This window comes from Homo sapiens, chromosome 8, assembly GCF_000001405.40.
Source record: "Homo sapiens chromosome 8, GRCh38.p14 Primary Assembly".
In the NCBI taxonomy this organism is placed as follows: domain Eukaryota; kingdom Metazoa; phylum Chordata; class Mammalia; order Primates; family Hominidae; genus Homo; species Homo sapiens.
This window is the reverse complement of record NC_000008.11, coordinates 8,215,651-8,228,352: the sequence shown is the minus strand read 5'-3', so window position 1 is coordinate 8,228,352 and position 12,702 is coordinate 8,215,651. Positions and strand designations below refer to the sequence as shown.

The 12,702-nt window shown below is 48.0% G+C and overlaps 1 long non-coding RNA gene and 1 pseudogene across 1 annotated transcript in view, besides 2 other annotated features; one reads left to right on the top strand and one right to left on the bottom strand.

Moving 5' to 3' along the window:
* Window positions 9-158: an enhancer, noted in NCBI's record as "active region_26962". NCBI's record gives its function as "activates an Ori minimal core promoter by ATAC-STARR-seq in GM12878 lymphoblastoid cells {active_cell/tissue: GM12878}" and the evidence as "EXISTENCE:reporter gene assay evidence [ECO:0000049][PMID:35858748]".
* Window positions 249-738: a silencer, noted in NCBI's record as "silent region_18891". NCBI's record gives its function as "represses an Ori minimal core promoter by ATAC-STARR-seq in GM12878 lymphoblastoid cells {active_cell/tissue: GM12878}" and the evidence as "EXISTENCE:reporter gene assay evidence [ECO:0000049][PMID:35858748]".
* The window catches only part of FAM85B (family with sequence similarity 85 member B), a 126,742-nt gene continuing 114,889 nt past the window's right edge, over window positions 850-12,702 (top strand). Inside the window, exons 1-2 of the long non-coding RNA NR_147089.1 lie at window positions 850-1,033; window positions 8,171-8,309. This is a non-coding gene — a long non-coding RNA (family with sequence similarity 85 member B). The remainder of the gene's footprint in view (window positions 1,034-8,170; window positions 8,310-12,702) is intronic.
* ENPP7P1 (ectonucleotide pyrophosphatase/phosphodiesterase 7 pseudogene 1) overlaps window positions 11,437-12,702 on the bottom strand; it is a 62,552-nt pseudogene continuing 61,286 nt past the window's right edge.

The following is a 12,702-nucleotide window of genomic DNA, read 5'->3' as shown; positions in this document are numbered from 1 at the left end:
GGGCAGGTGCTGGGTAGAGTCCAGGTTGGCGGGTCCTGGGGCGGGGTCAGCATAGGGCGATCCTGGAAGCTGGTCTTCGGAAGCGTCCAGGTTGGTCGCGTCCTGGAGGCGCTGCCTTGCGTGGGGGCAGGATAAGAGTCCTGGAGGCGGGCATTAGGGCGGGGATAAACGCCATTGGGTTCAGGAGGCGGGACTCGGAGCAGAGCCCAGGAGACAGGTCCTAGGGCGGGGCTAAGGCCAGACCCAGAGAAGGGCTCAGGAGGCGGGGCCGGGGCAGGGCGTTGACTATGTCGTACCACATGGCCAGGCGGTGCGCGGACTCTGGGAGGCGGAACTTAGGACGGGCCCACTTGGGGAGGGGTCCAGGGTCCGGGAGGCGGGGCCGAGTCCGGGCTGCAGGCTGCGCTCAGGAGGCGGGCCCTGGGAGGCGGAGCTTAGGGAGGGGCCGGTGTCGGGAGGGACCCAGGGACTGGGAGGCCGGTCGGGGCTGGGCTCAGGGGCCGAGACCTAGCTGGGCTTGGGGCGGGGCCGAGACGGAGCGAGGGGTCCAGGGCGTGGGAAACGGGGAGGGGTTTGAGGAGGGGATCGGAATGTGGCTCAAGTTCGGGAGGCGTTACCTGCGGAGGGTTTGAGGCAGGTCCAGGAGCGAGCCCACGGTCCGCCGACGCGGGACCAGGGGCGGGCCCCAGGATCCGGAGCTTCGGGCGGGGCCGAGTCCGGGTTTGGGGCCCGGAAGGCGGGGCCAGTTAGGGCGAGGGTCCCTGGGATCGTCAGGTCAGGCCTTGGGCTAACGTAGGCACTCTCGCAGTTCCTCCGCCTTCAGGAAAGTCTTTTTAGCAGGGGCCTTACGGGTTCGCGCTTTGGTCCTGGAGGCCTTATCCTAGCCTCCTCTGTATCAGCGCCACCAGTCTGGGGCCCGAAAGGAGGGAGCTTTCCCTCTGTCCCCCAGCCTTTGGACTGTCACCAAACAAGCCATTCGTTCACCAAATACTTATTAAGCGCCTACCATGTGCCTGACAAGGGAGATGTAACGGTGAGAAAAACTAGGTGTGGTCCATGTCCTCCAGGGGCTCAGGGGCTCGTGGAAGAAGTGGACATTGAAGTATTTATCACACAAATGAGTATAAAAGTACAATAGCGATATCTGCCACGAAGGTGAGCAGACAGAGCTAGCGGGGCTTGCAGGAGGAGTTTTGATCTTGCAGGGACAGGAAGGAGGAGTTAGCTCCTGCGGGGTGGGATTGGGGGTGGTGGTGATATAGACGTGGGGACAGACTGGAAAACAACAAAAATATAATTATTTTAGTTCAAAGTTATTGTGTCTTGAGTTGAAAGGCAGGACAGTTAGCAACACAGTTCAGATTTCAGTACTGCCCCTGAAATCTGAACTGTGTACAAAGTCTAAAACGTTTACCGTAGCAAATTCCTCATAAAACTCCATTTGGAAGAGTCCCGAGAGCTAATTTGTTAAGTATACTTGCAGAAGGTAGATGAGGAGACAGATAAAATCTTATTACCTCTTTCAGATGAGAGGCACTTGAGCCCTGCTCAGCTATGAGAATAAGAGAGGGGGAATTAATTCTAATTGAATACACTTGTTCTCTTATAGCTGTTGTTCCCCACCAGAACCAAATGAGCGCAAGATCTGACAAAGAAAAAAAGAAGTTCATCTTTTATTCCCCCAAACCCTTTCATTTAAATCAAGAGGGTGGGATGTGGTTATTGCTGTGTTTTTAGGCAGAATCAACGGTTTCTGGGTCTGAGAAGTTGCATACACACTCTCAGTCCCTGTATCCTGAGATGGAGTCACCTGAGGATCCACAGCAAGTCCTAACCAGGGATGGGTCTGGGTGATTAAGGAAGGTTGGCTTCAGAACTGGGCCAGAGGCACTGCTTTGCTTTTGCTGTTTTGATCAGCTCTGTGCCTGCATGAGACAAGGAAAATCAATGGGAACAGGTTAGTTATAAATCCTGGGCTTATTTTATTAACTCACATAATAGCTATTAATTGTCTTCCTCCAAGGAGAAAAAGGGCATATACGGTCAATGCCATAGTAAGTAACACTGTATTATGTTATACTAAAATATTAATCTAGGTTCGTTCAGTCTTTCCTGATTCCATAGATTGGAAGCGGATTGAAGAAGGACGCTAGTGGACCACAGACCTGAGCCATGCACACAGAAGAAATCTTTTTTTCTTTTTTTTTTTTTTTTTGGAGACGGAGTTTTGCTCTCTTGTTGCCCAGGCTGGAGTGCAATGGCGCGATCTCGGCTCACTGCAACCTCCACCTCCCAGGTTCAAGCGATTCTCCTGCCTCAGCCTCCTGAGTAGCTGGGATTACAGGCATGAGCCACTATGCCGGGCCACTTTTGTATTTTTAGTAGAGACAGGGTTTGAACACGTTGGCCAGGCTGGTCTCAAATTCCTGACCTCAGGTGATCCACCCGCCTCTGCCTCCCAAAGTGCTGGGATTACAGGCGTGACCCACCGCGCCTGGCCAGAAGAAATCTTTATCTTGGTGTGCAGTCTCCGGAGAGGGACAAATGTCATCTCTCTTGGATTTGAATCTGGAAGGATCAAGGCACTGAAGGGATTTTTTTGTTTCAGACAGTCTCCCTCTGTCGCCAGGCTGGAGTGCAGCGGCGCGATCTCAGCTCACGGCAACCTCTGCCTCCCGGGCTCAAGCGATCCTCCTGCCTCAGCCTCTCGAGTAGCTGGGACTACAGGCACGCGTCACCACGCCCAGCTAATTTTTGTATTTTTAGTAGAGACAGGGTTTTACCATGTTAGCCAGGATGGGCTCAATCTCTTGACATCATGATCCACCTGCCTTGGCCTCCCAAAGGGCTGGGATTACAGGCGTGAGCCACCACGCCCGGCCTCACTGAAGGGATTTTTTTAATGTCACGTGGCTCTCACAGGTGCGGTGTGTTTGGGTGCAAGTGAAGATTACGACTGACGCTTAAAAACAAACGTAAAATTCCAGGTGGTGTTGCTATGCGGAGCAGCATTAGGACAATCTGAGTGGTTTCAGTTGCAAGAGTGTGCGTGTACGTGCAAGTGCTACAGTCAAGATTCAACTTCTGGCTTTGAGGGTCTCTTTAATAACAGTAATAGCAACCTAAGTCAGTTTAAGAGTATGGAATGGTTGCCTTTTAGAAGTTAAGCTATGGGCATGGAAGTTCAATCAGTACTTTGAAGTTTTTCCTTTATCTCTCCTATGGTTAATGGTTTCTGCAGAAAAGGACCAATTGATTTCTTTCTAAAATGTTGCTTCAGGGTGTAGAGTCCTTTATAGGTCATGTGTCAACTTACAGAAAATTTTTATAGTTCAAATATAAATTACGTTCAATGTAGACTTTGTAATAGAATTTAAGGTTAAGTAAAGTTTCCACTTTCCTTAGGCTGTTTGCAGTGCCCAGCAGGCCCCATCATATCGAGGTGGAAGTTCTGTTAAAGGAGGAGATTGATCAGGGATGGGCAGAATAAGGAATATGCGCAGCTCAGGCTAATGATACAATGATTGAGATGTAGAAAGAGGGTCAGGCACGGGATAACGCCTGTAATCCCAGTGCTTTGGGAGGCCAAGGCAAGAGGATCGCTTGAGGTCAGACCAGCCTGGTCAACAGAGTGAGACCTAACCTGTACAAAAAAAAAAAAACAACACAAAAAAAACAAAAAAATTAGTTGGGCATGATGGTGTGCACCTGTAGTCTCAGACACTTGGAAGGCTGAGGTCAGGGGATCCCTTGAGCCCAGGAGTTTGAGGCTGCAGTGAGCTATAATCACATAACTGTACTCCAGCCTGGGTGACAGGGTGAGGCCCTGACTCAAAAAAAAATTGAGTCAGGGAAAAAATTTGAAATCTTAATCCTCAGTACCCAGGAATGTGACCTTATTTGGAAATGTGGTCTTTCTAAATGTAATCAAGTAACGATGAGTCATCCTGGATTGGGGGCTGCTGGTGAGGGGGCAGATGCAGTGACTGGTGTCCTTATAAAAGAAGAGAATGAGGGCTGGGGATGGTGGCTCATGCCTGTAATCTCAGCACACTTTGGGAGGGTGAGGTGGGGGGATCACTTGAAGTCAGGAGTTCGAGACCAGCCTGGCCAATAATAACAATAAAAAAGCCATTTTAGGTTCCAATCCACTGAAAGAAAACTGTCCCTTAGTTAATGTCATGTTTATTGGATCCATGAAGTCTTTGAAAATTTAAACTACATGGACACTGCTGTCTGTGGTGGTGGAGAGAATACCAAGGATTTAAAGGTCTTTAAGAAAGAGAATGTAGAAATCGTACCCATTGGAAACAGCAAGATGATGAAAATCGTACTGACAGTAATAATAAGCTCAAATATATAGAGCTTACTATGTATCATGAATTGCTCTGAATGCTTCATAAATATACGTTCCCTCCTTTACCCTCATGGCAGCCCAGTAAAGTCGCCATTCCCCATTTTACAGCTGGGGAAACTGAGTTACAGAGCTTTTCTGCACTGAGTCATCAGGAGCAAATGCTAGATCAGGTAATTGAACCCAAGCAATCTGGTTCCAGAGCCAAATAGATGTATTTTTTATGGTATAAAACATATACATACATTTTTAGGGGAAGGGTGGGGTAGGATGGGATGAGGATTCTGGGTAATTGCTTGGTAAATGCCAAATACCTTTCTTGTCTGTCCCTCTTTTCAAATGATAAAGTAATGTCAATTGCAGCACTTTTTTTTTTTTTTTTGAGACAAGGTCTAGCTGGAGTACAGTGATGCAGTCATAGCCCACTGCAGCCTCAAATTCCTGGGCTCAAGCGATCCACCCACATCAGCTTCCCAAGTAGTTGGGACTACAGGCCCACACTACTATGCCCAGCTAATTATTTTAATTTTTGTAGAGATGGCAGGTGGCTGTGTGGGGGTGTCTCTCTATGTTGCCCGGGCTGGTCTCGAACTCTTGACCTCAAGTGAACCTCCTGCCTCAGCCCCACAAAGCTCTGGAGTTATAGGTGTGAGCCACTGTGGCTGGCTACAATACTATTTATTTATATTTTGGACCAACAGATATTCTAGCATATAAGAAATGTGATGCTCTCTGTACACTGAAGAGTTGGTCTAATATTTGTCCTGGTGGATACAGAAATTGCCTGTCTGCTCCGCTCTGGGTGAAGAAACAAGTCCGACTGTCTCTGAGGCTATGGAGCAGTCCATCAAGAATGAAAGCCCTCTGCCAGGCACGTTGCCTCACACCTGTAATACCAGCACTTTGGGAGGCCGAGGCAGGTGGATCACTTGAAGTCAGGAGTTCGACACCAGCATGGCCAACATGGTGAAACCTTGTTTCTACAAAAAATAGAAAAATTAGCTGGGCCGGGTGATACATGTCTGTAATCCCAGCTACTCAGGAGTCTGAGGCAGGAGAATCACTTGAACTTGGGAGGCAGAGGTTGCAGTGGGGAGCTGAGATCACACCACTGCATTCCGGCCTGGGCGACAGAGCGAGACTCTCTCAAGAAAAAAAAAAAAAGAATGAATATCCTCATGATGGCCTCAAGCACATTGGTCCCTGAAGAGAGTCAAGGAAGGCCCACTTTACTCTGCACTGCAAAGCAGGCAGGTGGACAGGAATCTGATAAGTGGATTCCGTGAGAGGCATTGACCCAAAGGATTTTCTCCCTAATGGTCAGTTCAGCAGAATATTAAACTCAGCACAGCATCCTGTTCCCTGAAACCATCTGTTTTGTCAGTGGGGAATGTTCTTGTCTCGTTAAATGTCCTCATGCTACTGTCAAGATATCCTGTTACAAAATGTCATAAACCAGGTTTACAAATAGGCCAGGTGATTGTGGAATTTCTCCTTGGCAAGGCCTTAGCTACGGGCGTGCGATTGGGGTGCAATAATCACTGTGTTCCGGGCCACTTGAGGGATAAAATATACCTTAGGTGATAAACTGTTGTATTTTAATGTGAATATTTCCACCAACATTAGACAGTAACCTCATGAGTTTTCTGTTACACTGTGGAGTTGCAACAAGCTAACAAGCAAGTTGCAAACATAATGATCGCATTTGGCTCCTATTCACAGCAAGGGTTCTTCAAGCTGTACCTGGGACAGTCTTCCCTCACATGAGGTTTATAGCATCACTTATTTCATTATTTATTTATTTTTTGAGACAGTGTTTTGCTCTGTCGCCCAGGCTGGAGAGCAATGGCGCGATCTTGGCTCACTGCAACCTCCGCCCCCCCGGGGTTCAAGCGATTCTCCTGTCTCAGCCTCCCGAGTAGCTGGGATTATAGGCACCCGGCACCACACCTGGCTAATTTTTGTATTTTTAGTAGAGACGGGGTTTCACCATGTTGACCGGGCTGGTCTCAAACTCCTGACTTCAGGTGATCCACCTGCCTCAGCCTCCCAAAGTGTTGGGATTACTGGTGTGAGCCACAGCGCCCGGCTATAGCATCATTTAAACTGTGTTTCTGCCATGAATTGTTAGTTGGTAGTTAACAAAAAATAGACCACCTCATTTATGTCTCACAGTTAGCATTGGTTTTTGTGTTTTCTTTAGGCTCGTTTTTTAATTGTTTTTAAAATTGTGCAACAGGGTCTTGTTCTGTTGCTGAGGCCAGAGTGCAGTGACACAATCTTGGCTCGCTGCAGCCTCAACCTCCTGGGCTCAAGCAATCCTCCCACTTTAGCCTCCTGAGTAGCTGGGACTACAAACACGAGCCACCACCGCTGGCTAATTTTTAATTTTTAATTTTTTTTTTTGAAATGGAGTTTCACTCTGTCGCCCAGCAGGTTGGAGTGCAGTGGCGTAATCTCGGCTTACTGTAACCTCCACCTCTCGGGTTCAAGCGATTCTTCTGCCTCAGCCTCGGCACCCACCACCATGCCTGGCTAATTTTTAAAAAACATTTTTAGTAGCGACAGGGTTTCACCATGTTGGCCAGTCTGCTCTTGAACTCCTGACCTCAAGTGATCCACCTACCTCAGCCTCCCAAATTGCTGGGATTACAGGCGTGAGCCACCACGCCAAGCCTAAGTTTTAAATTTTTTGTAGAGACCAGGTTTTGCCATGTTGTCTAGGCTGGTCTTGAACTCCTGGGCTCAAGTGATCCTCCTGCCTTGGCCTCTCAAAATGCTAGGATTACAGGCATGGCCCTTATGTCTGGCCCTTAAAGCTGCTTTTTAATAACAGCTTTATTGAAAGATAATTCATATACCATACAATTTACCCATTTAAAGTGTATGATTTGGCCGGGCATGGTGGCTCACACTTGCAATCCCAGCACTTTGGGAGGCTGAGGTGGGAGGATCGCTTGAACCCAAGAGTTTGAGATGAACCCCTAGCAACATGGCAAAACCCTGTCTCGACCAAAAATACAAAAAATTAGCTGGGCATGGTGTGTGTGTCTGTAGTCCCAGCTACTCAGGAGGCTGAAGTGGGAGGATGGTTTGAGCCCGGGAGGTGGGTGGTGGAGTGAGTTGAGATTGCACCACTGCACTCCAGCCTGGGCAACAGAGCCAGAACCTGTCTCTAAATAAATAAATAAAGTGTAAAATTCAGTGGTTTTTAATATATTCACAGAGTTCTGCAGCCATCATCACCATCAATTTTAGAAATTTTAATTACCCCAGAAGAAACCCTGTATCCATTAGCAGTCACCCCTTATTTCCCCCGACTATCCCCACCCCTGGCTCCTGGCAACCATTAATCTACTTTCTGTTTCTTTGGATTTTCATATTCTGGGCATATATATATATATACATATATATATATATATGTATATATAATCTAATATTTGTCTGGCTTCTCTCACTTAGCCTAACGGTTTCAAGGTGTATCCAGGTTGTAGCATGAATCAGCCCTTCATTCCATATTGTGGCTGATTAATGTTCCATCACACGGGTGGACTGTACTTGTTTGCTTATTCATCTGTTGTTGATGGGCATTTGCGTTGTTGCCACCTTTTGATAATTATGAATAGTTTTGCTACGAGCATCTGTGTGTGTCTTTGTATGAACAGACTTGCATATTTTTTGATATGGGCAAATGAGAACCAGCGGCGGGGGGCCTCTGTGGTGACTTTTTTGGTGATCTTTGTGTACTCTGTATAATGATCAGCCACTCAGGCTTGGGGGCAGCACTTAACCTTGCATTTCTTTCTTTTTTTTAAGATAGAGTCTCTCTCTCTGCCACCCAGGCCAGAGTGCAGTTGACGCAGGGCAGGGGAGCCCCGAAGTGGAGCATAGTGTGTCCGGAACTGGTGGGTTCTTGGTCTCCCTGACTTCAAGAATGAAGCCACGGACCCTCGGGGTGAGTGTCACAGTTCTTAAAGGCGGCGTGTCTGGAGTTTGTTCCTTCTGATTCTCGGATGTGTACAGAGTTTCTTCCTTCTGGTGTGTTTGTGGTCTCGCTGGCTTCAGGAGTGAAGCTGCAGACCTTCAAGGTGAGTGTTAAAGCTCTTAAGGCGGCGCGTCTGGAGTTGTTTGTTCCTCCCGGTGGGTTCATAGTCTCGCTGGCTTCAGGAGTGAAGCTGCAGACCTTCGAAGTGAGTGTTACCGCTCATAAAGGCAATGTGGACCCAAAGAGTAAGCAGCAGAAAGATTTATTGCAAAGAGCAAAAGAACAAAGCTTCCACAATGTGGAAAGGGACCCCAGTGTGTTGCCACTGCTGGCTGGGGCAGCCTGCTTTTATTCCCTTATCTGGCCCCACCCACATCCTGCTGATTGTTCCATTTTACAGAGAGCCGATTGGTCTGTTTTACAGAGAGCTGAATGGTCTGTTTTGACAGGGTGCTGATTGGTGCATTTACAATCCTTGAGCTAGACACAAAAGTTCTCCAAGTCCCTACTAGATTAGCTAGACACAGAGTGTCAATTGGTGCATTCACAAACCCTGAGCTAGACACAGAGTGCTGATTGGTGTGTTTACAAACCTTGAGCTAGATACAGAGTGTCGATTGGTGTATTTACAATCCCTTAGCTAGACATAAAGGTTCTCAAAGTCCCCACCAGACTCAGGAACCCAGCTGGCTTCACCAAGTGGGTCCCACACGGGGGTCGCAGGTGGAGCTGCCTGCCAGTCCCGCACCCTGTGCTGGCATTCCTCAGCCCTTGGGTGGTCGATGGAACTGGGCGCCCTGGAGCAGGGGGTGGTGCCCATTGGGGAGGCTCGGCACTCATCAGGGAGGCTCAGGCCGCGAAGGAGCCCATGGAGGGTTGGGTGGAGGCTCAGGCATGGCGGGCTGCATGTCCCGAGCCCTGCCCTGCAGGGAAGCAGCTAAGGCCCAGTGAGAAATTGAGCAAAGCAGCTGCTGGCCCAGGTGCTAAGCCCCTCACTGCCTGGGTCCAGCGGGGCTGGCAGGCCAGTCTGAGTGCCGGGCCCAGTGAGCCCATGCCCACCCGGAACTCACGCTGGCCCGCAAGCGCCACGCCCAGCCCCAGTTCCTGCCCGCGCCTCTCCCTCTACACCTCCCCGCAAGCTGAGGGAGCAGGCTCCAGCCTCGGCCAGCCCAGGAAGGGGCTCCCACAGTGCAGCGGTGCACTGAAGGGCTCCACAAGTGCCACCAACGTGGGAGCCCAGGCAGAGGAGGGGCCGAGAGTGAGCTCGAGGGCTGACACCGTGCTGTCACCTCTCAGTAGCACGTGAGGGTTCTTGCCTTTACCCAGGAAAGAATTCAAGGGCAAGCCGGAGGTATAGAAGAAAACAGTTTTATTGAAGAGGCAGCATTACAGCCCTGTGACTGCTCCTGTAGGGCAGGGTTACCCTGGAGGCAGAGAGTAGCGGCAGAGAGTTTGCAATCACATTTATACCCACTTTTAATTGCATGCAGATTAAAGGGCAGTTTATGCAGGAATTTCTAGAAAATGGGTAGTAACTTTTGAGTCATTGGGTCATTGCCATGGAAAGGGGCAGTAACTCCCGGGTGTTACCTTGGCAATAGTAAACTCACATGGCACACTGGTGGGCATGTCTGATGGAAAGCTTCTTCTGCCCCAGCCCTGTTTTAGGTAGTCCTTAATTTGGTCTGGTGTCTAAGCCCTGCCTGTGGAGTCAAGTCCTGCCTCCTATCTCACAGTGGCATGATCATGGCTCACTGCAGACTCAACACCCCCGGGATCAAGCAGTTCTCCCACCTCAGCCTCCTGAGTTGCTGGGACCACAGGCACGTGCCACTACACTCAGACACATTTTTTGCATTTTTTGTAGAGATGGTGTTTCACTGTGTTGCCTAGGCTGGTCTCAAACTCGTGGGCTCAAGCAATCTACCTACCTTAGCCTTCTAAAGTGCTGGGATTACAGGTGTGAGCCACTGCACCCAGCCCAACCTTACATTTTTAATCTCAAGTCACTTCTCTCTAGGTTTTGATTTCTTCTTTAAAGTGGTGGAAATAAGAGCATCTATTTTATAGGGTTGTTGGGAAGAAAAAAATGAAAGAACTGCTATTCAATGTTTAGTGAAGCTCTATGCACGATTTTGAATAATGAAGTTGGTGTTTATTTTTTATTATTTGTTTATTTATTTTTTAGAGACGGGGTCTTGCTCTGTTGCTCAAGCTGGAGTGTAGTAGTGCAACCACAGCTTAGTGCAGCCTTGACCTCCTGGGCTCAAGAAATCCTGCCACCTCAGCCTCCTGAGTAGCTGGGACTACAGGCATGCATCGCCATGTCTGGCTATTTATTTATTTGTTTGTTTTTTGTAGAGATGGGGTCTCCCTGTGTTGCCCGGGCTGGTCTTGAACTCCTGGCCTTAAGCAATCCTCCTGTCTTAGCCTCCAAAAACACTGAGATTACAAGTGTGAACAACCATGGCCAGCCTTATTTTTATTTTTAATCAGCCTTATCAAGTTGAATTGGTCATTAATCTTGTATAACAGTAATTTGGGGCAGCATTGGTTGGGCGGAGGGTGGGAAACATTTAGGACCCTGTGGGCTACAACTCGTAGTGTGTGCACTTATTTTATTTTGTTTTGTTATATTATATCATATTATATTATATTATATTATATTACATTACATTACATTACATTATATTATATTATATTATATTATATTATATTTTTTTGAGACAGGGTCTCACTCTGTTGCCCAGACTGGAGTGCAGTAGCATGATCTTGGTTCACTGCAACCTCTGCCTCCCAGCTTCAAGCGATTCTCCTGCCTCAGCCTCCAGAGTAGCTGGAACTACAGATGTGCACCACCACGCCCAGCTAATTTTTGTATTTTTAGTAGAGATGGGGTTTCACCATGTTGGCCAGGCTGGTTTCAAACTCCTGACCTCAGGTGATACACCTGCCTCAGCCTCCCAAAGTGCTGGGATTATACGCGTGAGCCACCGTGCCCGGCTGTGCGCTTATGTTTGATTTTTGCAGAACCACCCTTCCCTAATGGTTGTCTCCTAGATCCAAGGTGACTTTATTCATTTTAGAATGAACTTACCCCTTTGATACTGTAACCAGAGTTGGCATACATCACGATTGGCAGAACCCGGTCATGTTTAGCCATATGGAAGTGTTCTGGAAACTCCTCCTTCTTGTAGATGTGGAGGTGAGGGTACGCATTCTTCAGTGCCTGGTAAAGGGCTTCCTCTTGCCCCAATTTGGGCAGGGGCATCCCAAAGCCACCGTAGCCCACGATATCAAACTTGACTAAGTCCCTGAACTTGATGTAGTTGGACAAGGGATCTTGTTGACATTGGGTCTCTTCTTCACGGTGGTCATCCCACGGTCTCATGTGATGATGACGCTGAGGTGCTCTGTAGGCTGTGCTTCTCAGTGGCTCCCACCAGATACCCGATGGCGCTGTCGATTTGCTGAATCATCAACTTCCTGTTCTCTGCCTCTGGCCCGAATCGGTGTCCCACGTTATCTGGCTCTCTGTAGCACAGAGCCACAAAGTCAAAGTCTTCCTTGGTGAACCAGTTCATGACGGTATCGATGTTCTCCCTCCGCTCTGTCTCGCTGCTCTTTGGGTGAGTGTAGGACTCCACCAGGGACCGCTTGACAGCCTCACCCTCGTATTTAACACCTCCCTTGGAATAGTGGAATGATGCCACTTTGTTCCCCTTCAACTACAAGAAGAAAATTCCATCGGGGCCATTTCTCATACCTTTCTCACAATCAGCAAAGCTCAAGTTGTCTACATCTGTGCCCCAGTCCAAAGGCATAGGAAATATGTGGTCTTTGGAGTCAGACAGGATGGAGTTAGATTCTGGGCTTCCCCAGGATCTCATAGCATCTACAACACTGTTAGTTACAAGATGTGCTATTATTTTATGGGCTACTAAGCAGAAAAATGCTGCCAACGAGACTGTGACATTCTAGTGATTGTAAGGTGTATTCCAACTTCAGAGATGGCAAAATGAAAAATAGTTCCTTAGAATAGAAGGAGACGGTAATTTCTGAGTTGTTGGTGGTGAATTTGTGCATGTGTGTTTTATATATATATATATACACACACATATACACATGTACATGTATACATATGCATATATATACATATATAATATACATGTGTATATATAAACATACATATATACATAAATATGTTTACATAGTGGTGCAGGGGTACTATCATAGCTCATTGCACCCTTGAACTTCTGGGCTTAAGTGATCCTGCTACCTCAGCTTCTTGAGCAGCTGGGGCACAGGCATGTACCACCACACCTGTTTTTTTTTTGTTTTTTTTTTTTTTTTGAGACACGGT